This window comes from Homo sapiens, chromosome 7, assembly GCF_000001405.40.
Source record: "Homo sapiens chromosome 7, GRCh38.p14 Primary Assembly".
Taxonomy (NCBI): domain Eukaryota; kingdom Metazoa; phylum Chordata; class Mammalia; order Primates; family Hominidae; genus Homo; species Homo sapiens.
The window spans coordinates 27,136,717-27,158,367 of NC_000007.14; the positions used below are offsets into that span (position 1 = coordinate 27,136,717).

Here is a 21,651-nt window from a genome sequence, read left to right on the forward strand (position 1 = left end):
TCTAATAACCTTCATAACAAATATTATTATTGAAAAGACTGGTTTGTGGGGAGGGGACCTGGTGGGAGAACAAATTTATTTGTGAACAACAACAAACAAAACAAACCTGGGCAGACCTTCAAGTTCTGGGGCTTAGAATGGCTGGGGCTGTGGATCCCCTCCCCTACTTGGGTGGGAGCTTAGGCTGACCCCCTCAGCCCTGCCTGGGAGCCCCGTTTATAGTTTTGCCATTGACTAGAAGGAAACTCCTCCTCAGAAACCAAAGGGAGGGAGCCCACAATGCTCTGCACTCTCCATGGTGGGCAAGCCATGGACAGACCCCCAGCCAAGGCAGGGGGGAGGCTGAGAAGGGCATCTTTTAAGCTAAAAGGATTGTTTTCCTCTTTAATTGCCTATCTTTTAAGATGTGATTTGCTTTCCACTCACTAATTATTTCGATATAATACTCTCAGAATCTCAACAAATGAACAGGACTCTGTTTTTTGGTGGGAAATTCTGTCTTGCTCTCTCAGAGCCGCCAACAATGAAGCAGGGGAAAGAGCAGGAGAAAGGGAATCTTGGCATAATGTTGTGAAATTAGACCATGGAAACCCTAACAAACCACTAAGTAAGTGTGACCAGAAGCTTCCTGTTGTATTTATAGTTCAGAAATATTGTCTCTTCAGCTTGTGGGAACAAACGAGCCCCCGCACATTGCCGCTGAGGAGGAGCACAGACACGCACTTCTGCCACCGGCTGAGGCTGGATGTCTTCATAAAGCCCTCAGTGACAGACATATTTTTTCTTAGTAAGTTCCTCTGCAAGAACAACCCAAAAGAATCCACAAAAGAAATAACTTATCTACAGAATGAGCAGAAAACCAGCCATCCTCTTTATTATGCTTCCTATGAAAATAGGAAGAAAGAAAAAAATCTTCCAGTAACACATAGGTCTGACTGCATGATGTATTTTTAAAGTCATTTTAATTCCATGTGGCCATGTGGGTTTGCCTGCTCTCTTAAATTCTACTTAAGTTTTGTGAAGATTAAAACAGACAGAAATAAGCAAGCTGACAATATTTACAGCCTGTAATTTTTCTCATTCCTTGGAAAGATTCTCTATGTTCTGTGGTACTGGATATGACTTCAACAGGCTTTCTGCTCATTCCCACACCCCAGGGTGGAATATGGCCATGAAGTAGTGTGGATATTTTCTGTGTAAGTAACTCAAATTAAACTGGCAGAATCCCCGTCACTCTTTTTTTTTTCTAATTTCAATCACCAAGAAATCACTCAAGCAAGATCACCAAATCAGTAACTAAAATGGAACCATAACGCAATATTTTCCAATAAGGAGCCCAAAATTCAGAGCAGCAAAACAAGGAATCCAGTATTCTCACAGACACATAACATTATAAAAGAGAACCCATACCCATGTAGAGTTTATATCCTTGTTCCCACTAAGATGTGGACACATCTTCTTGAATGCTGAAATACCAATGTTTACTTTAATAGGTTACACACAATGACTTCAGGATTCTTCACCTTGCCACTATTCATGAGAAGTAGCACTTGTGGGAGGGTTTTGATTTTTCAAAAAAACTTTCTAGGTTTTGCTTTCTGGACCTCTGACTTTAGGGACATCTGTTGGACTTATGTTGAGTGTAGGTGGCCTCTGCACAATAAGTTTATTGAAATTCCAAATCTATACTTTCAATTTTTTCACTTTAAGCACTTAATAGGTATCTTTACCAATTAATACTTGCTGAAAACTGCCCAGCTCCTAAGGAGAAAAGCAGATCCTATTTTTTGTTTCATTTCTGAATGCAGTAGGAGAATTTGGCTTAATTCCTAAAATAGGATTGGAGGAAATCTACTGGGTCCCTTGTGGGTACCCATCCAGAAAAAGATCCCAGGACAGGCCACAGTCCCCAGTCACTGGGCTTGGGTTTTGCCATTGAAGAATATGGGGGGTTGGGGCCAGAAGGGGTGACTGGGGCCAATATGGAATTGTGCCCAGGATAAACTTATTTCACCTTACTTCACCCATTGGTGCAATTTTGGAGACTGTTCTGGAAATCATAGATTATGTAAATTTCCTGGGATCAAACAGAAAGAGCAACTAACAAAAGAAAGGCGGAAATCTCCTACTGACAAAGGACCAATTTCTTCCCTAAACTACCGTTTATGATGTGTCAGGAAAAACAACCTAATGGCTCTGGGGACTTTTAAGTTGGGCACTGAAGACACCTCAATTTCCCCCAAAACTTTAGAGCACAGTTTGGAACAGAGAATTCGCCTGTATGTTGAGGGGGAGTGAATTTCTCCAATCTTAATGTTATCCAGGGGGCCGCCTAAGTTGCCTTCTGAGGGTCCTGTGCGTAGATGTTTTTAATTCTACAAAGAAGGAGAGGAACAGGAAAGAAGAGAGGGAGAAGAAAGGCAAAGCGGAAGAAAAGAAAGCGCTTTAACCCCTTTCAATTAGCCTGGGGATTCAAAGACTAAAGTTAAATCCGGCCATAAAGTTTATTGCTTCAGACTCACAAGCGGCTGAGAACAGTCCCGCCGAAATAAAAAGAACATGCAGGCAAACAGGGTTCAGGGCCTGGTCCCGGGTGCGGGGGAGGGGGTCCTGAACACCCCCCCACACCAGGGTGGGGATCCTTGGTCCTCAGGGTCCAGTGGGCGCTAGCAGCCCAGGATCCACCTTGCAACCCGGGGGCCCAGCCTGGAGGTGCAGCCCCAGCCTCGCCGGCCTCTGCCACCCTCCCGCTCTCGCGAGCTAGCCTGAAACCCGGCCCCGAAGGCCGCCGCCTCAATTCAGCCCTGCCAAATGACCCCGGCCCGCGAAGACATATTGCCACAGCCCCGTAAGGAATCCCGCCAGAGTCCGCCTCGGCCCTGCCCCGGCCTTTCTTTCAAACTCCTGAGCGCAGCGCGGCCCTCGGCGCCCGCGGCCGGCGCCCCACTGTCTCCCAGCCCCGACCCCAGGGCTCCGCGACCCCCAGGAGCTGGCCCCGGCCGGCCCAGCAATTGCGCGGGGGACTGGGGGTGCGGCCCTGCCAGGTCCCCACACACAGGCCCATTCGCACACAAAAATCATCTTTTTGCACGCCGGCGGGAGCAGCGGAAGTCATTAACATCCGCGGTTGTGCTGCAATTAAAGTTAGGCCTGGGGATGCGGCGCGGCCACAGGCGCTGCTCACTCTGCTGCCTCCGCAGAGTTGGCTCCTGGCGCTGCTCTTTTGGGCAGAGGGAAAGTTTGCTCTGCCTTTTCGAATTCAGAGGCAGCCTGAGTTATTGAACCAGAGAGAGAGAGAGAGAGAGAGAGAGAGAGAAAGTTTCCAAAGTACAAATAAACTTGAAAGCGCTCAGGAGGCGAGCTTACCTTAACTCGGAGGGAGCCATTTTTCAGAGAGTTTTGAGAACTTGTGGTTTGGACACTTCTGGACCTAAAATTGACAGTTTGAATGGCCAGGCGGCACACGTAGCCTGCAAAAGAGTCAAATGGAGTCCAGCGTTAGTGAGATTATATGTTATGTGGTATATAATGTTGGATGTCAACTCCCCAAAACCATAAAACTTACTTTAATGGCCCCACGTGACGTTTTATAGCCAGTGAGCCGATCTGTCTGTGCTATGGATGATTTTACGATCTAATTCATAGACAAAACCCTATTCATTTGGCACCCAAATGTCATATAGCCGGAACTGGGGCTTATAAAGTTTACTGTTTTATAACTTTTAAAAGGAAAGACGGCATCAGTGTAAGCAGTCGGTAAATGTGCAAATCTCTAGTTGCGCTTTAGCTGCTCTGAGGAGTTTCCCAATCGAGCTAGGATGGGGTAAGTACCTTCAATTTGTAGCAAATTAATTGTAGCAAAAGAAGCCAACTGGGTCCCGGGTGAAGAGTGGGGAAGGGGTGCTGGGATGGGTTAAGGGCAGAGGGTTTGGGGTCCACAGACAGACATAGCAGCGTCTTCAGCAAGTGGAGGCCTAGGACAGCCTTAGGAAAGAGGCAGGATCTGTGTGGCCTGAGGGCGGCTAACAAAGCCCTGGGTTTTTTCTCCTTTTTTCTTGCTCTTTCTCTCTTTTTTGTACCCAGCAAGTTAACTTGGTTTCCTCAGAGATGGACAGGGTGTTCTGGGGCTTTGGAACAGCCTACAGCTTTTTCCACCTTCTGCCCTGAACTTTGCAATGGGTCAGAGGTAGGGAAGCGATGGGACAGTGTTGGTATGAGGTCTCCCTGCACAGGTCATCTGCTCAGGTAGCCTCAGACCCAACAGCTTCCAAGACTGCACAGACAGACAGAAAAGCAGACAGAGCCGCTCACTATTTGGCACAAACCAGACCAAGAGAACTTACAATAGAAAGTTTATTTTTTGTTCCAGTCAGTATTTTTTCCTTAAAAACAAATACAAAAAAAAAAAAAAAAAAAAAAAAGCTGATCACAGTTTGCTTAAAACAGCCAGACTTGGACAATATTTGTAACTTTGTTCACAAAAACATACATCACTGAAGCTGCGCTTATAAGAGCCACTTCCAGAGTTCGTGCAAAGGGTCCTATAAAGGCACGCAGGGACACACCGCTTGGAGTCACAGTTTTCATCACAGAGTCACTAGTCACTACACGTCGAACAAGTTGTGTCTCATCAAGTCACCTCTACAACAGCATTAATTACACAAGGAATATAGGTAGTTTGAATAAAAATATCTTTAACAGCTTGGAGCTATTGAGACAGGAACACTTCCACGCACATGCACAGTTAAACAACTTGAGTGCAACACACAACATTGGCACTAAACGAGATTGAAGGGGGACTTTTTGTGTGTTTTTTTTTCTCTTTTCTTTTTTTGTTATAGTTACTTCAAGTAACACAGCTTGCTTCATATAAATAAGTTAAAACATCTATTTTTTTTCAAGACAAAGCCATTCAGGACAAAGAGATGAACAGAAAGCAGATCTACTTATACAGGCGCTATAATGGCAATAAACAGGCTCATGATTAAAAGATGAATTAGGGCAACGAGAACAGGGCTTCTTCACAGAAGGAACACAAGGGAGTTTCAGAAAGTCACCTTAGTACTGACACTACGCGGGATCCGCTAATACTGCTCAGTACTTTAAACGCTCAGATACTCAGGGACGGAAGGCCCCTCCTGCCGCGGCCATGCTCATGCTTTTCAGCTTATTATCTTTTTTCCACTTCATTCTCCGGTTTTGGAACCAGATTTTAATTTGTCTCTCGGAGAGGCAAAGAGCATGTGCTATTTCAATCCTCCTTCTGCGGGTCAGGTAACGGTTGAAGTGGAACTCCTTCTCCAGCTCCAGGGTCTGGTAGCGCGTGTAGGCCGTCCGGGCCCTTTTGCCTTCCGGGCCGCCTATGTTGTCTGCAATAGAAAAGTCAGCGGTTTAGCCACCAACTCCTGTCTTCCAAAGTCCGCCAGGGGGACAAGCTTGGGTCATGAGCAGGGAACCCAGGCGAAAAGCTCAACAAGTTCTGCCTACCAGCCCGCACACCCCTCCCGAATTTCCTTCTCTCTTCCTTTCTAGAAAGAAAACAATACGATTTGGACCCTGGGAACAATCTGCCCATCTGAGGCTGGGGCCGTGTCCCGGCGGACTCCGGCTTTCCCTGGCCCCTCTCCTGCCCCCTCCGCCCTGCCCCGGGCGCCCCGATCGGGAGGCACAGCCCTCCCAGGCTGCCCACCGCACAGAAACCCAGGAAGCAAGGCCCTTTCCTGAGCGCCCAAGTGGCCTTCGGGTCACCCTCCCTCAAAGTTCCAGCCCCGAGAGCCGCCTCCCGTTTCCAGCCTGCAGGGTTGGGGAGCCTGTTTTCTTTTTCTTCCCTTTCCTTCTCTCTCCCTCCTGCCCCCAAAATTCAGAATCCTGCAGGCTCTCGCCTCGATTCTTTCCCCCAAGCCCCTTTTCGGGGGCTGTAATTAGTAACGCTGTTTCCCCAGCGTAGCCCTCCTCATAAATTATCCGCCGTGACAAGCCCGATTCACGGCTGCTACAGCCATCCTCTACCTCTCTGCGCCTTGCTCGGCTGGCCTGACCCGGGAGCGCGTCCCAAGGCGTGGGGTTCCAGAGGGGTTTTTTGCTTCCTCCCCCTTCCAACGTCTAAACTGTCCCAGAGAACGCCCATTTCCCCCACTATTTGTGAGCGCAGGGTGCTCGCAAAGAAGAGGAGGAAGGAGGAAGGCAGGGGAGGGAGAACGGCAAGGAGAGCTCCGCAGGGCTGGGAGAAATGAGACCAAGAGAGACTGGGAGAGGGCGGCAGAGAAGAGAGGGGGGACCGAGAGCCGCGTCCCCGCGGTCGCGTGGATTTAGAAAAAGGCTGGCTTTACCATGACTTATGTGCAGCTTGCGCATCCAGGGGTAGATCTGGGGTTGGGCGGGCGGCGCCGGGCTCGGCTCGCTCTGCGCACTCGCCTGCTCGCTGCTGGCAGGGGCGTCCTCCTCGGCTCCGGACGCCGTGCCAACCCCCTCTCTGCTGCTGATGTGGGTGCTGCCGGCGTCGGCCGAGGCGCCGCTGGAGTTGCTTAGGGAGTTTTTCCCGCCGTGGTGGCTGTCGCTGCCGGGCGAGGGGGCCACGGCGGAGCAGGGCAGCGGATCGGGCTGAGGAGAGTGCGTGGACGTGGCCGGCTGGCTGTACCTGGGCTCGGCGGGCGCCGCGCTGGCGCTGGCAGCGTAGCTGCGGGCGCGCTCTCCGGAGCCAAAGTGGCCGGAGCCCGAGCGGCCGACGCTGAGATCCATGCCATTGTAGCCGTAGCCGTACCTGCCGGAGTGCATGCTCGCCGAGTCCCTGAATTGCTCGCTCACGGAACTATGATCTCCATAATTATGCAACTGGTAGTCCGGGCCATTTGGATAGCGACCGCAAAATGAGTTTACAAAATAAGAGCTCATTTGTTTTTTGATATGTGTGCTTGATTTGTGGCTCGCGGTCGTTTGTGCGTCTATAGCACCCTTGCACAATTTATGATGAATTATGGAAATGACTGGGACATGTACTTGGTTCCCTCCTACGTAGGCACCCAAATATGGGGTACGACTTCGAATCACGTGCTTTTGTTGTCCAGTCGTAAATCCTGCCTGATGACCTCTAGAGGTAAACTCGTGCACTAATAGGGGAGTTGGGTGGAGGCGAGGGGGGTGGCGCGCGCGCCCCGGGCGCGTGCCCGCCGCCAGTTGCCGCCGTTCAGCCGGACTCGAGCGCCACCCGCTGGAGGCAGGGCTCATCGCCCAGCTTCCGACCGGGGGCTGCAAGGGCCGGGGTCGAATTGAGGTTACAGCCCATTATGGCAAAATTATTGCATTTCCCTCGCAGTTCCATTAGGATGTACCAATTGTTAGGCCGTCAGCTGCCGATCGCGCGCCCGGCGAGGATGCAGAGGATTGGGGGGAGGTGGTGACTTGCATTTTATTTACAACAACTTTATTTCCCCCGTTTTGCAGCCCCTCTTATTTTTGTGTCGAGGTTGGGGTCGGTACTGACCGTCCTGCCAGCAGCTCTGAATTTTGAAAATACAGATATCACCTTCGGGGAAGGGGGAAAGCCATTTAGCCAATTGGAGAAATAAATCCTGCCCGCAGCAGCAGCAGCTACAATTACGGCTCTGTTTTTGCGAGCGCATGAGGGACAGTGTCCCTGCCGCTCTTAAATGACAGGCGTCTATTAAAGATAGCTTTTGTGTAGTGTTTCTCCAAGGCGAGGTCAAATTCCATACACTTTTATAACCGTAGTCGATTTTTCTTTCGTGTGAATATGGTTTTCGTGTCATTAGTTTGCGATTTGATTTGCTTACGTATCCAGCCTGGAAAATCTTCATCACAGGGTCCGGTTCCTCGAGCCAGCCGGGCCCCAAGTCGGAGGGTTCTCCTTGAACCCAGCGAGTGGGCCCAGGCTCCCTGCAGCCACAGAGGCTGCCTGGGGTCTGGGGATCCGTGGGGCGGGTTACTGGGGTCTTGCTTAGACCTCCAGGAGTAAAATGAGGGCGATAATGGAAGCATTCCTTGGCAGTGCCTAGTATCTCTGTAGTTATTTTCCACGGCTCCGAAAGACTCAAGTAAATCACAAATATAGCTGAGAGGCAAGTGGAGTCTCCCCGCTGGAGGCCCGGCGTTGCAGGCGCCCCTGGCACGTCTGGAAGCCAGGACTCTGGCGGCTCCCATGGCCCTGGGCCCCTCGTTGGGTCCTGAACGCTGCTGTGGCGGCGACGCGGGCGCTATCGGAGGCTGGGAGCGGGAATCCGGAGCCGGGAGCCTACCCCGGGCTGTAATGTTCCACCCGCGCCCAGGTTAACTCGCCTCGGCTGAGGCTGCTTCTCTTCCACTGACGGTTGCACACGCGGGACCGAGAGACTGGGCTCTGTTGGGGCCCCCTTTGTTCCTCGAGCTTCCTTCCTGTTCTGGGAGGCGGCTTGGGAGGCCGCGACAAGGCCGGGCTCCAGCTCTTAGACCCCCTCTTTCCACTGGCCAGAGATGATTTGATGATGCCCTTCGGGACTTACTGGCGAGGGACTTAGGCAGAGACGCCCAGACACGAAACGGGGCTCGGCCCAGGGCTCTTTCCTCCCCAGCAGCCCCGCGTCCCGAGGTCGGGGAGCTCAGAGACACTAGCACAGGAGCCCCAGACGCATTCAGGGCGCACCCCAGAACTCCGGAGCCGGTTTGGGCATCCTTGTGGAGCGGGACTGGGTGTGTGCAGTGCGCCCCGCTCCACCGCTGGTATTGGCTGTGTGTGAGGTTTTGTTTTGTTTTGTTTTGTTTTGTTTTGTTTTGTTTTGTTTTGTTTTGTAAGAAATAAATGCACAGACGCTTGCAAAGCTCCGGGCTCCCCTGAAGCTGCGGAAGCCCCCAGATGGGAGCAGGCGGGGAGAAAAGTTGGGGAACAGGCGAGGGCAAGGGGGCAAAGCCGAAGGAGGTTGCAGCGCTGGCCTGGTCCCTGCCCAGGCATCTACTCGCCCGCCTTTGCCTCTGAGTCCTCCCCGCTGGGCTGCGTGGAATTGATGAGCTTGTTTTCCTTTTTCCACTTCATGCGGCGGTTCTGGAACCAGATCTTGATCTGGCGCTCGGTGAGGCAGAGCGCGTTGGCGATCTCGATGCGGCGGCGCCGTGTCAGGTAGCGGTTGAAGTGGAACTCCTTCTCCAGCTCCAGTGTCTGGTAGCGCGTGTAGGTCTGGCGGCCTCGGCGCCCATGGCTCCCATACACAGCACCTACGAGCAGAAACGGCCGGGCGCCGGTAAGCCAGGGCCTGGAGGGTTGACCCAGTCAGCCCAGTGCCTCCCACAAGAGGCACCCAGACTAGAAACCACCCCGCCTCCACTCCAGCCTCTCCCACTATGTCTGGGGCCCAAAGCATACTGAATGGGAGATTATTTCATACCAAGCGAGATGTTTTCCACCTATAACGACTTGGGGTGGACATTATCGTTTTTGAAAAATCTGCCTCATAGGAAAACCATTACAAGCAAAATAACAGAATGAGCATTCTTAATTTGGGATGCCCAGGTCGTGTTTTTGTGGGGATGCAGGGTGTGTGTGTGTGTTTGTGTGTGTGTGTGTGTGTGTGTCTGGGGTGGGTGGTGTGGAACCATGTAAGTAGTGTACACACTCTGAATTCATAGTGGTCTCTCTGAGGATGCTACTGTGACCAGCCATGTCGGAACTCAACACATTTTTTGAAGAGTTAAAAATGGTCAGCCCTCTTGAATCTTTACACATTCTCCCAAATTATATGACCCTTCTGAGAAATGCAGAACTCCCCCAAGGATAAAGTGGATGTTAATGGAAAACATTATAATTTTAACAATCCGCATTAGGCTCTGTCCTAGGGAATTCCTAGGAGTCTTTGGGATTCCCTGTGGAGTCCTTGGAAACCAGAGGCTAAGAGATGGAGCTATAGGTAGTCTAGGATTTCTGGCAATGTAGGATTGTGTTGGGCTGTCTGATCTGGTGCCAAAGTTCCCCAAGGGTGGTGGGGGGTCCCTCCAAGACAGGTGTATGAAGCTCAGGCATGGGCTCAGAAGAGGGCAGAAGTTGGCTAAGAGTGGGCAGTTGAGTAGAAGCCGGGGGAGATGAGGGAGGAGAGAGAAAAAAATCCTGAGTCTGGGGCTGTGGCCCTCCAAGGCTTTGGGGAGACACTGGAAGAGGCCAAATGGCCACCTCTCTGTACGGGTTTCTGAAGGGCAGAAAGGAGAGGGGGTTGGGAAGCAAAGGGTATTTATCAGTGACGCAGTGCAAAAGGCCCTCTGGCTTGGGAAGCTGAGCAGGGTACTCAGGGTGCATGGACAGGCTGTCCCTCCCCACCAGCCTCTCTCTCTCTTCAGGCTGTCCCTGTCACAGGTCTCATATACGTGCCAGTGCCCCCATCCTCCCCTAAGGTGTCAGCTTACATGGACACTGGGGCCTTGCCCTTCCTCTGCCATGGCCTGATAGCCCCATTGGGAACTGATTTTTTCTTCTCTTTTAAGAAGCCAAAGAAACTTTGCTGGTTCTTTCATCCTTTCTTTCTCTCTATTCCTCTTTCTACTCTGTTTCCTCCTTCTTTCTTTCTTTTCCTGCCTCCTTTCCCCTCTCCCTCCACTGTCTTGGGATATGTCTTACCCGCGCAGGAGTTCATCCGCTGCATCCAAGGGTAAACCGGGCTCGTGTACTTCCGGTCGGCGCCTTCGTCATGGAGTGCTTTGCCCTGCCCGCTGCTGCTGTCGGGTTTGTACTGCTGCTCGGGAGAAAAGTGCAGGTAGTCCCCGGGGCCCCTCTGCTTGCCACTGCCCGAGGGCGAGGCGCCACTGAGGTCCTTATCAGAATAGAAACACGAGGCCCCGTACTCGTAGGACGCCCGGTTGCAGGCCAGGACCGAGTTGGACTGTTGGTAGAAACAAGGTGAGGTGTACGTCTTGTCCGGGAGACTCGACGCCCCGTACGAGGCCGGGAAGGGCCTCAGCGCGTCATAGCCAGCCTGGTAGAGGGGCAGCTGGCCCAAGAAGGAGTCCTGGCCGCTGGGAAGGCTCCCGGGGAAAGTGGGATTCACAAAATAGGAACTCATTTGCGCGCCCCTCTGCAGGACTGTGATTTGTTGTGTATTAGTACATCTGGCTATAACTATTAGTAGTCATCGAACTGGTTTGTTTCTGGATGGCCGAACGCCAAAAGCGACAGCAGCAAATCGCACCAGCTGACGCGGCGGCGGCCAATGGGAGCGAACGCCGGAGCCCGCTCCCCGGGGACCGCGGCGACCGAGGCAGCAAAGTTACAAACAGCCCCCAGCCCGCCCGCCCGCCGCCCGCCCGGCAGATTAATGGGCGCGCACAGCTAGCCGGCCCGGCTCTCTTCCCGAACGCCAGCGGCGGGCACGGCCCTTTCAGTGGCGAGCAGATCAGGCCAGAGTAGGGACACTAATGCTTGGGCCGCCTCAAAGGCCCCGCCAGGTCCCCTCCTTCCTCCTCCCCTTTTTGCTTTATTGAATTTTGCGGGTTCCCCGCCCCTCCTCCTCCAAACAGGAAACCTGAAGGTCCTGCTCCAGGAGGGGCAGTGACAAAGGTGGCTTTGCTCCCTGCCGGCCTGCACTCCAGGCACGGCCCAGAGTTGCCCCTCCCCTAGCGCTCCCCTATTCGTGGGTGCGAGTTCTTGAGCTGGAGCAAGGGCCATGAGAAACCAGGCCTTCACTCTATGCTCTTCACTCGTGCGCCTTAGGAATCGGTGAACTCCCTCATTCTCTCCTTCTCCGCTAGCACCAGGGGCCTGGGCCTTGCAGCCCAGAGCTGAAGGATCACCTCGAGCTGACCAGGACTCAGCCAAACGTAGGTTCTTCCCACCCATTCCCTCCTCCCACATACACATCCTGTTTGAGTCCCAAGGGGCTCAATGGCCCGCGCCTGCCTGGTGTCAAAGCACTCCTTCCAGCTGGGCGTCCCCATCCCACCTTTGAACCCAGGGAATTGAAAGGCCAGAAACCACTGGTTTCAACAAGAAAGGACCGACAGAGCAGTGGCCGTGAGACTGGGCTCCTAAGACAGCCGAGGGACCTGCTCCCCTGCCTAGCGCCTGGGGACTCAGCATCCACTGCGAGAACCGCTCAGAGCTGAGGCAGATAAAAATCCAGATGTGGAATCTCTCTGTCCACATTCCAGAGGCACAGAAGACGCAGAGGCCCTGGCCAAGCTGGGCACAGAGGGCAGCTCTGCAGGGCCCAAGGCCGCGGGATAATTGATGGGCTCGGTTTCCGGGGCGCCCGACAACCGGCACTGTCCTGGGGCCGCCCTCTTTACTGCCCTTCCTGGGACCGCAGGGAGGGCTGCCGCCCCTCAGTCGCTCCGGAACCGGGAATAGTCTCACCGGCTCCAGAAATCCTGAATTGCTTTCACTGCTGTCCCAGGCCTGGCGGTCCCCAGACAGGACATTAAAAGCCTGTCCTGAGCTGCTCACTCTTGCCTGAGAGGTGTGCCTTCGAGATAGTTGACTTTTACAACACATGGATCAATCTCGTTTTGTAAAATGTGATAGCAGCCCAATGGCATTTTTACAACTGTGTTTGTTGGGCTTGTAAAACCCCTTGAATTAGCTTTAAAATCCTCAATTCTGTGGAGGTTGAAGAAAGACTATTTACGTGATTTGGATGGATTTCTGGAGACTGTTTACAAGATCTGTAAAACCCTGGCCAATGCAGGCTCACCCGGTTCAGGACTTAGTGGGGAGGTGGCAATTGGCAGTGTTCCAGTAGGAATCTAGTAATGACTTAGTCTCTTCCTTGCTTTTCAATTTTTTTCCTGAACTCTCCTCCCACAAAGGGAAAAAATTGGGAAAGGACTGGCCTAAGGTCGACCTCCGAAGAGCCCAAGAGGCACTCCTGGAAGGCGGCTGCTAGCCCGGCAACGGGGGCTACCCCTGGAAGCCGGATGCCTGTTCCCCAGTCGATCCGTCCTGGAAAGGGTTTACTTTGCATATAAAGCAGGGCCTCGAATGAGAGGATAGAATTGGGCATTTCCCACACATTACTTCAGGGAAAGAATTCAATAGGTGAAAATGAAAACTCGAGTCAAAAAATTAAAAGGGACTTTTAAAAATAGCTGTTTGAAGAAAAACATGTTTGTGTTATTTTTTTCTTAAACAAAATTATCAGACAACAGTGATTTTAAGCAAGTTATTATTTAAAATGAAAACAACCGTTTGGAGATGACAATCAATGTTTACATTTATGATTTCCTTTTCATTCCGCCATGTCCCACATAGTGGTGGGTCAGTGTCAATTTACTATTATTATTATTTGTCATGCCTTGACCAGGATTCTCGATCTAATTATTGTTCCAGCTAACAAGAGAATTTGATTTCTCAGCTAAGAACCAGAAAACATTATATTTCTAGCTTCTATAGGCACTAAGATGGAAAAACATATATTACATTGGAATCTTTACATGTTAGCCAAGGCTAGTGCATATCATTTCTCCAACCAGATATTCTCTCTCTCTCTCTCTCTCTAGAGAGAGAGGGCTATTCCGGCAAGAATAGGCACCCCAGACCCTCCAAAGGGCCTCTCCTGCGATGGTGAGAATGGCCACCCCAGGGCTCTCTCTCCTCCCTGCCAAAGCCACGCAGAAAGCGACTTACCTTTCAGTTTCTCTCCAAGGGGGGCAGGACGGCGAGCTGGGCCCCACTGTCTGCCCTTGCCCTGGGCTGCCCATTGAACAGCTCCACCTCTGCCAGCCTGGAGGGTGGTCTGGGAGTATGTAGGTGTGGGACCTTGAAGGCCACCTCGGTCCAGCCAGCTCGCTAGCCCAGACCAGAGCCCAAAGCACACAGGTGCGGCCTCTGCCCTTCACAGCCCTCTCCTGGAGCCAAAGCCGTCCTTCTTTGCCATAGCCAATCCTCCTCAGAGCAGCCAGGCCTACAGGCCTCAGGACTACAGGTAGTCTCTCCGATTGCAGAATCCCAAAGCCAGAGTGTTCCCTGAACCAGCGTGCGCCCCCAGAACGCCTTGGGACGCGCAGTTTGGACAGAAGCAGCCATGACGTGCCAGGCGGCCTGTGCAACCAGTCTCCATGGTGCTGGAGTGGGGGTGGGGGAGGACCCGAGTCTATAACGGCGTCCAGCTCCGGTCAGGGGTAGCCGAGGCGGGGAGATTTCCCGGCCATATAGGCTCTGGGTGATCGCCCCCCAGGTCCCCTTGCGTCCCCCTCTACCCTGCTTGCTGGGAAATCTCTGAGGGGCCAGTACAGCAGTCGCGCCAGGCTGCAAGAGGCGGGCTGCAGCTGGCGCCGGTCCCGGCGACGGCCACGGCGTGGCAGCAGCGAGCGCCAGCACGGTCGCAATAAATAATCGGCCCGCGGCAGCCGCAGTCAGGAAGGCGGCGGACCTAGGATGCAAATGCGCCGCTTTATCCGCCCCGAGCGCACGCAGAGCACGGGCTAACGTCCTAAACATCCACAGCCCCTTCCTATTTATCGAATCCATACCAAGATATTGTCTCAAGTTGGGGAAACAACAACCCAAACAAAAAACAAACAAAAAGAACCTCGGACTCTTTTCTTGTCGCTGTCCGAGGAGTTCTCGGGGCAAATCTGGTCTGATGTGCACTTAGGCCGAGCTACAGTTCGAGCCACCGCGCTACGCAAAGCCACCGCCAGCAGCACGCTCTGCGCTTCCTCCCGGGCAGCTCCACCATCCTCTCCCCGCTCGCGGAAGGTGGGGAGTGCGGTCGCCAGTCCGTTGCGCCAAGGTGGATTGGGGGGTCCCCCTATCGCCCAGACTCGGTTTGCGTCCTTCCTTCAACCTTAGCTGCGGGACCCTGCCACGCGCGCTAACAGCATTATGTCCTCTGCACCGAAACTTCCCACCAAGTAACACCCAATTAATCCCATCCTCTCCTCCAACACAGAATTCCACCCACGCACCTATTCCCCCTCCCAGCGCTTCAGACACCTCTCTCATCGAAAAACCGGGCGAAGGGAAGCCGGCAACGAGCGGAGAACTCTGGCTGAATTAGTAAGTTTTTCTGTTTCCCCCTTCTACCTTTCTCTCTGAAACCAATTCCCACGGAGTAGAAAGTGCTGTGCTGATGCTAATAAAATGCCTGTGGATTAATGCACTTTGCCCTCACCTCTTCCCACCTTCCCAGGTCAAGGATGGTCTCCTCTTGTTGGGGAATCCAACAAAACCAAATAGGGCCATGAATGAAAACACAAAAATCCAAACCCAAAGGGCTGGCGGGGAACACAGTGTGCCGGGCCACTTCCTTTTGGGCTTCACGGGGTCGCTAGGGAAGGGGAGAGAGACGACCCAAGGGATGCTGCCCTGTGCCTTGGCGCTGTGCCACGGAGGGCCGAAGGAAGGCGGGCACTTACTGCCAAGGCGAGCCAGGGAGGGGAGAGAAAGGGAGTGGTGTGTGTGTGTGTGTGCGTGCGCGCGTGTGTGCCTGTGTGTGTGACGTGTGTGGGCTGTAGTGTGTGATGGGGGCAAGTGTGAATGGGTGAGTATGGGTAAGGGGGAGTATGCCCCTCTTAAAGCCTCCCTGGGTGCCCTCTCCCACCGCTACCGCCGCCGGCTGTCGCCTCACCACCTTTGCTCCTATCTCCTCCCCACATGTCTCACCTTCAGACGGTGGCTCCCAGAAGCTCCTGCCCCTCTGACAGCTGTCGCTTGGGCAGCCCGAGAGAAGAATTGTCCTCTTTCCTGGTGCCAGAGGACGCAGGAAATTAGCCAGGTTGCGAGTTGCAAAGCTGCTGCCGCGGCGCCGGGAACGGAGCGCGCCCAATCTCCAGCGGGAGCCGCCAGGCCTGGCCTGGCCGGGGCTTCCCTTCGCTCGCCATCTCCGGACAAAGCACAGCCGAGCCCGGCTGGAAGGCAGAGCTCCGAAGCAGGCAGGACGGAGCGGAGCAAAAGAATGCGGCTCTATTCTCGCAAGGGAAATTATAAAAAAGTTCATGTTCACGGTTCTCATCCACATGACCGACAGCGGCCAATGGAAGGGCCGAACAACTCATAAAGTTGTATTGCAAAGTTGTAAATTTTCATAAACAACAACGGATTTATGACCCTTTCCCCATCACTGAGAGGAGGCAGCTCTTACACCGGCGCCATCTTACCACCGAGGCCGCCCCGACTTGGGGCCTCAGGTTTTACAGACCCTTTTGGGCCAGGTTTTACTAAAAGAGCCATAAGAAGCGGGCCCAGCCCAGGCAGGAGACTGGAGACGAGGTCTTGCAGGCGGAACTCAGGATGCTCTGAGCTGCCCGCACAACCCCTGGACCTTCACCCCTCGCCCCTTCCCCGCATCCAGCTGCCCCAGCCCCTGCCCAGGCTGCGTAGCCTAGCGGGGGTCTGCGGTCCTAGCCCCTCCCCGCGCCACCTACTGCAGTGCCGGACCCTGGGGCCCCCTCGCCTGGTCTGCAGGCGGGGTGGGGACCTTAAATCCCATTTCCTAGCCTGGGGCTGGGTTCAGGGCGCATGCGAATCCGGAATCAGCTCTGGGTAATGCCCCTTTCCAAGCCCACTGCTCAGCCTTAGAGGAAAGTGTGGATTTGAAATTTCCTCATGGAATTGATGGAGGTTTTTAGGTAGATTCATAGAATATAACGTATCTACCAAAGATTCCGTTTTCAAGGGATCTAGAAGATGTTAGTGCACACGCAAAAACCAGACAAACGTCTCTACACGGATAAAGGCACATATACAATTATGCACACAGGGAAGGGCATACACTCTATTGTGGGCACAGAATGACATGCAATTATGGACACACAAAAACACATGCACCCAATTATGGACACCAAAATATATACAATTGTGGAATTAGGTAAAAACACACACACAGAAATACATACACAGAAAAATAAGCACATACTCATACAAATACACACATAAAAATACATTAAAAAGATACATGACACCAATACATGGGTACCCAACACTTGGACCATCACAAGGACAGCCACCCCACTTTTGCTTCCCCACTGCCCCCTGCCCTCCAGCCATACTCACCTCCCCTTTCCCAGTCCCCTCTGGATAAGGCAGTCCACATTTTTCTTTGTCACCACGCATCTTTATTTTCGGTTACATAAAACACAGCTGGGCTGGGAAGTGTGCCTTCCCTGAACCCCAGGATGGAGCTGAGCAGGGTACAGGACAACACAGGAGATGAAGGGCATTGCGGAGGGCATTGGACCTCCCCACCCACTACAGTTAACTCAAGACAACATACCATGCTACAAAGTCACCCCATTAACACATCCTTTCCAAGTCAAGACACTGCCTTACAAATGAACTCCAAGACTATAGAAATGATAAAAAAAAATCTTGTTCAAATATACAGTATCTGCTATTATAGGAAACATCAGGGCGTACATATTTAACACAGCTGAACAGTAAGATACAGGAGCCAGAGGAAAGGACAGCGAAGCTGGAAGCATCTCCACAGTCCTGCTAAGCAGAAGCTAACCCACAGATCTGCAGCCAGCTCAGGAACATTCCCCTCCAGAAGTGGGGGTTGATGGGCCTGAGCTGTGGGTGCCAAGCCAGAGAAGGAGGGATTGATTCTAGGGTGCAAGCACTTAGGATGCTTTTTGGAATAAATATATTATTTTTCGATTTAAATAGATGCCAATACCCTGATCCTGGACCTCAGCACATTCTCAGGGCAGCCTCAGGGACCCCAAAAGCTGCGGGCTGTAAGCAGCAGGGGACTTGCCTGGGAGCAGTCGGCACTAGGTAGCAGGCAAGCCAGCCAGCACAAAATAGGTAGTTTTAGGGGAGTAGGTAGTAGTGAGATTCACTTTCTTGCGGGTCTGGGAGGGTGGTGCTGGGTGTCTGCCAGTGTTGGGATACATAGGGACTTCCTGGGAATGGAGGCCCTCTGGGGCTGGATACATAGGTAGTTTGGGGGTGCCTCGAGCAGAGGCCTGTGCTAGGTAGTATTTTGGACGCGCCAGAGCAGGGCCGGCTGGCCTGGGGTTGGGGGTGTCTTTTGGGGTCCTCGGAGGCAGAGGGAATCCAAGGCGACCCAGTCTCTGCGGCCGCTCAGTCCACAAAAGTTGGGAGCTGGAGTAGGTGATGGGGGTGGGTAGAGTGCAGGTTGGGGACTGGGTTGCTTTTTTGTTTTTGTTTTTGTTTTTTACATTTTCTTTTATTTTTCCCATTTTTGTAAGTAAAACCAGTGAGTCTCTTAAAGACGCTTTTCCGACTGTCCGGTGCAGAGAGGGCCCCGGATCGGCCCCTCATTCCTCCTCGTCTTCCTCTTCTTCATCATCGTCCTCCTCGTCGGCCTTGTCCGCGGCAGCAGTGGCGGCGGCAGAGGGCACGGCGCCCTCGGGAGCTGCGGCGGCAGTCGGACCTTCGTCCTTATGCTCTTTCTTCCACTTCATGCGGCGGTTCTGGAACCAGATCTTAATCTGGCGCTCGGTGAGGCAGAGCGCGTGGGCGATTTCAATGCGGCGGCGCCGCGTCAGGTAGCGGTTGAAGTGGAACTCCTTCTCCAGCTCCAGCGTCTGGTAGCGCGTGTAGGTCTGGCGGCCCCGCTTCCTGTCAGGTCCTGAGAACAGACATGCAGACACATGAACACAAGGACAGACAAGTAGACAGGGCACTCGTTAGGCTGCTGTCCCAGAGCCCGCACCTTCCTCCTGGCCTAGTCCCCAGCGAGCATCCCCCTCTGCCCCAGGCCCCGAACTGAGCTAGGGGAGGAGGGGGAGTGTTAGGGAAAGACCCCAACTGCAGTGCCAGACGCGCAGGCAGCTCTGTAATGAGCAAAGGCACAGAATCTCAACTTTACAACCGACCTTTCCAGCCGGCTAAGCTTCCACAATGTCCTGCTTCCTCTGACAAAGGAAAACTGTAAATATAGAGTGTGAGCAAGTGGGAAACGCTGCACTTTTGCCATTCAAAGATGAGCCCGGCCATTCCCCTGCCTTGCTAGGCAAGTGGGCGACTCTTCCCAGCAGCCTGAGCCCTCATCCCCAGGACCTTCCTAGGGCACCCCGACCCTCTGTCCTCATTCCCTCGCCCCCATCTTGAAATGGACCCTGGCACAGGGTCGGGTGAGAGGCCCTGGAGGGCTTGGCTCTCCTAGCTTTTGAGAAAGAAATGTCAGGCAGCAAGGAAAATGAGGAGAGAGAGAAGAAGAAAGGGAGGGAGGGTGACAGAGGAGGGAGAAAGAGAGACAGAATAGCGAACAAACTTAATGTTAAAATTCCAAGACAAATGGAGTTAAATAAATTTACGAGGATCGAACCCATTAATTGGGCCATAAAAAGTTTTATGAGCCTCATTTACATACAATGCTATGGGCTCCACGCAATGGCGCCTCCGCTCCAATTAAAACCAGAAAGGCTGCGCCGGGAGTCACGGGGCTACCGGCTCGCAACAGCCTGGCTCCGCTCTTCCGGCCCCGCGCCCCGCGCTCCGCGCTCCCCAGCGCTGCGCTCCCCGCTCCCGGTCCCGCTCCGCCAGCCTGGCCCGCCTAGCGACTGCGCCTACCTGAAGACCGCATCCAGGGGTAGATGCGGAAATTGGCCTCAGCCGCGCCATGCAGCGCGCCCTCGTCCGTCTTGTCGCAGGCGCCTTTGGCGAGGTCACTGCAGAGCCCGGGGATGTTTTGGTCGTAGGAGGCGCAGGGCAGGTTGCCGTAGGCGTCGGCGCCCAGGCCGTAGCCGGACGCAAAGGGGCTCTGATAAAGGGGGCTGTTGACATTGTATAAGCCCGGAACGGTCGAGGCGAAGGCGCCGGCGCCCGCCCCGTAGCCGCTTCTCTGTGAGTTGGGAGCAAAGGAGCAAGAAGTCGGCTCGGCATTTTGGAACAGAGAAGCCCCCGCCGTATATTTGCTAAAAAGCGCGTTCACATAATACGAAGAACTCATAATTTTGACCTGTGATTTGTTGTCCGGCAGCTTTCAGTGTCGGTTTTACGAGGTAGAGTGATATATGATAACATTACACCCCCAGATTTACACCAAACCCCATTTTCTTTTGGACGGAGCTCGCCGCAGCACGTGACCGCCCACATGACCGCCTCCGCCAATCTCAGCAGTCCTCACAGGTGGTCTCGCTCCGCAGGGCCCGCAGCCGCCTAGAATGGAAGGGCAAGAGGCTCAAATATGCGGCCAAAGAATCCGCCCGCGCCCGGCGGGCCTGGCGCGTCCCGCGGAAAAAGACCTGGAGGCTCCGCGGGAGCGCCCAGCTGGCGGCCAACCTCCGCACTGGGGTCTGCGGACGCCAGGCGGCCCGGCCCCACGCAGCACCCCCCACCCCGCCCCCCCGCCGACTCCTGCTAGTGAGCCCTGGACCAAGCTTGGGATCCTCCCCATCCCTCTCCTGTCCGCCTGCCCAGACCCTGGAAGGGTCTCTGTCCCCCGCAACAGCCTGCCCCGCGGTGGCCTTGTGGGCAGGACTCAGCTATGAGCAGATCGACTCTGCCCAAGTCTTCTCTCACCCAGGTCCAGTGGGCGACAGGCCGGACTTAGACTCGGATCCAGACGGGGAAGGCGCAGCATCTCTTGCAGCTGCAGAGAGATTGCCACCGCAAACTGGAGCCATGTGGTTCGAATAAAGTCAACGTCTCCCAGCTTCCTTTCCTTAATCGGAGGCACACTGTTTATCCGCCCTAAAGGAAGCAGTGAAATATTTATCTATTAATGAGACTCATTTGCCAACAGATTTATTAACGTGGGGTTCCCCTCCCTCCTCCCGGACGCTGTAGTGCTGCAGGCTCTGTGCCTTCGCTCCTGGGCACCTGGCTGGCTCCAGCAGTCCGATAAATTGCTAAAGATTCCTTTGTCCTTTCCACAACTTCTGGTTCCCCTCTGGCGCATGGGGAGCCAGGGCTGTTTCCCCCAGCTTGGAAAAATCTCGGGCCTGCACCCTTCCAGGCACTCCCAATACTGGAAGGTTTCTGGGGTAGGCCGGGGTGCCTGGGAACAATACATGCTTTAGAGCGGATTTGGAGAGGGGGCTCTGGCGTCTAGGGACTGCAACCCACTGTGGACTTCCTTTTCTTTTGAAGACACCGAAAACAAATAGGGGAAACCACCCCCTAAAGGCCACCCAGCTGTGGAGGCTTCACCTATCCAAGTACCAGCTCACATGGAGCTGAGCGCACAGTGGTCTCACTTCCTCCCATCCAGGCCTCCAATTCCTACCTTCCAGGCCTCCGACCCCTGCACCATGTTGCACCAGCTGAAGCCCCTGCCGCCCACCGCTCGGTGGAGGATGGTGGGGAGAACCCTTCCCCTAAACGCCTCATAAACTGCCCGGCTGCGCTGGAAGCCCGGCCACCTTTTACTGCTCAGCTCGATTACACACCATAAACCCGACCTCACAATGGAATTGCCCCGGAAATTCTCCTGTAAATTGTAGAGTTTAGTTCCTTGTGTACTGAGCACTTCCCATCACTTTCAGAGGGTCCAGGCCGTCCCCGTTTACCGCACCCTCTCAGGGGGCCCCAGGAATACAAAAGGTGGAGGGAGGGTTCAGATCGGGACGCCACGGAGCCCCAGTTCCTGCGCAGTGAACCACCGGGGCTTGGGTAGGAAGGCGGGGGCTGGTGGGGCAGGTGGGCGCTGGGCTGTCTCCTCCCGGGCCACGGAAGCCTGGGGGTAGGGGTGTGGAGTGAGGGACAACATCCGGGGACGCCTTTATGGCGGATCAGATGATACCTTGTCTCCGATGGAGAATAGAGGGAGT

The 21,651-nt window shown here is 53.8% G+C and overlaps 4 protein-coding genes and 1 long non-coding RNA gene across 12 annotated transcripts in view, besides 2 other annotated features; 1 reads left to right on the forward strand and 4 right to left on the reverse strand.

Annotated features, from left to right (window-relative positions):
• Positions 1–15,867, reverse strand: part of HOXA3 (homeobox A3) — a 45,574-nt gene extending 29,707 nt beyond the window's left edge. For 4 of the 7 annotated variants that reach the window (NM_001384338.1, NM_001384340.1, NM_001384337.1 and 1 more), the window contains exon 1: positions 3,367–3,523. The gene's annotated coding sequence lies outside the window, so the exon portion shown is untranslated. Of the gene's footprint in view, positions 1–3,366; positions 3,524–13,591; positions 14,235–15,571 lie in introns of those variants that run through there. The other 3 variants (NM_153631.3, NM_001384335.1, NM_001384336.1) reach the window with 2 other exon arrangements.
• Positions 2,794–3,372: an enhancer, noted in NCBI's record as "H3K27ac-H3K4me1 hESC enhancer chr7:27179129-27179707 (GRCh37/hg19 assembly coordinates)". NCBI's record gives its function as "activates a minimal SCP1, AML or CMV promoter by ChIP-STARR-seq in naive H9 embryonic stem cells {active_cell/tissue: H9 hESC(naive)}" and the evidence as "EXISTENCE:reporter gene assay evidence [ECO:0000049][PMID:30033119]".
• On the forward strand, positions 3,648–19,212 carry HOXA-AS3 (HOXA cluster antisense RNA 3). Of its 2 annotated transcripts, none has more exons than NR_038832.1 (3): positions 3,648–3,823; positions 14,859–14,965; positions 15,578–19,212. It is a non-coding gene; the product is annotated as an HOXA cluster antisense RNA 3 (long non-coding RNA). The 2 variants fall into 2 exon arrangements; NR_038831.1 differs by lacking the exon at positions 3,648–3,823 and adding an exon at positions 10,447–10,696.
• Positions 4,336–6,965, reverse strand: HOXA5 (homeobox A5). The gene is made up of 2 exons (NM_019102.4): positions 6,330–6,965; positions 4,336–5,369 (listed from the first exon to the last, which is right to left on the reverse strand). The coding sequence occupies exons 1-2, from the start codon at positions 6,889–6,891 to the stop codon at positions 5,119–5,121; spliced, it is 813 nt and encodes a 270-aa protein (NP_061975.2). The 5' UTR covers positions 6,892–6,965; the 3' UTR covers positions 4,336–5,118.
• On the reverse strand, positions 8,680–11,058 carry HOXA6 (homeobox A6). The gene is made up of 2 exons (NM_024014.4): positions 10,592–11,058; positions 8,680–9,201 (listed from the first exon to the last, which is right to left on the reverse strand). Exons 1-2 carry the CDS (start codon positions 11,031–11,033, stop codon positions 8,942–8,944), a joined length of 702 nt encoding a protein of 233 aa, NP_076919.1. The 5' UTR covers positions 11,034–11,058; the 3' UTR covers positions 8,680–8,941.
• On the reverse strand, positions 17,000–19,959 carry HOXA7 (homeobox A7). Its single transcript, NM_006896.4, has 2 exons — positions 19,451–19,959; positions 17,000–18,506 (listed from the first exon to the last, which is right to left on the reverse strand). The coding sequence occupies exons 1-2, from the start codon at positions 19,827–19,829 to the stop codon at positions 18,193–18,195; spliced, it is 693 nt and encodes a 230-aa protein (NP_008827.2). The 5' UTR covers positions 19,830–19,959; the 3' UTR covers positions 17,000–18,192.
• Positions 17,803–18,387: an enhancer, noted in NCBI's record as "H3K4me1 hESC enhancer chr7:27194138-27194722 (GRCh37/hg19 assembly coordinates)". NCBI's record gives its function as "activates a minimal SCP1, AML or CMV promoter by ChIP-STARR-seq in naive H9 embryonic stem cells {active_cell/tissue: H9 hESC(naive)}" and the evidence as "EXISTENCE:reporter gene assay evidence [ECO:0000049][PMID:30033119]".
• Positions 19,960–21,651: the final 1,692 nt, after the last annotated feature.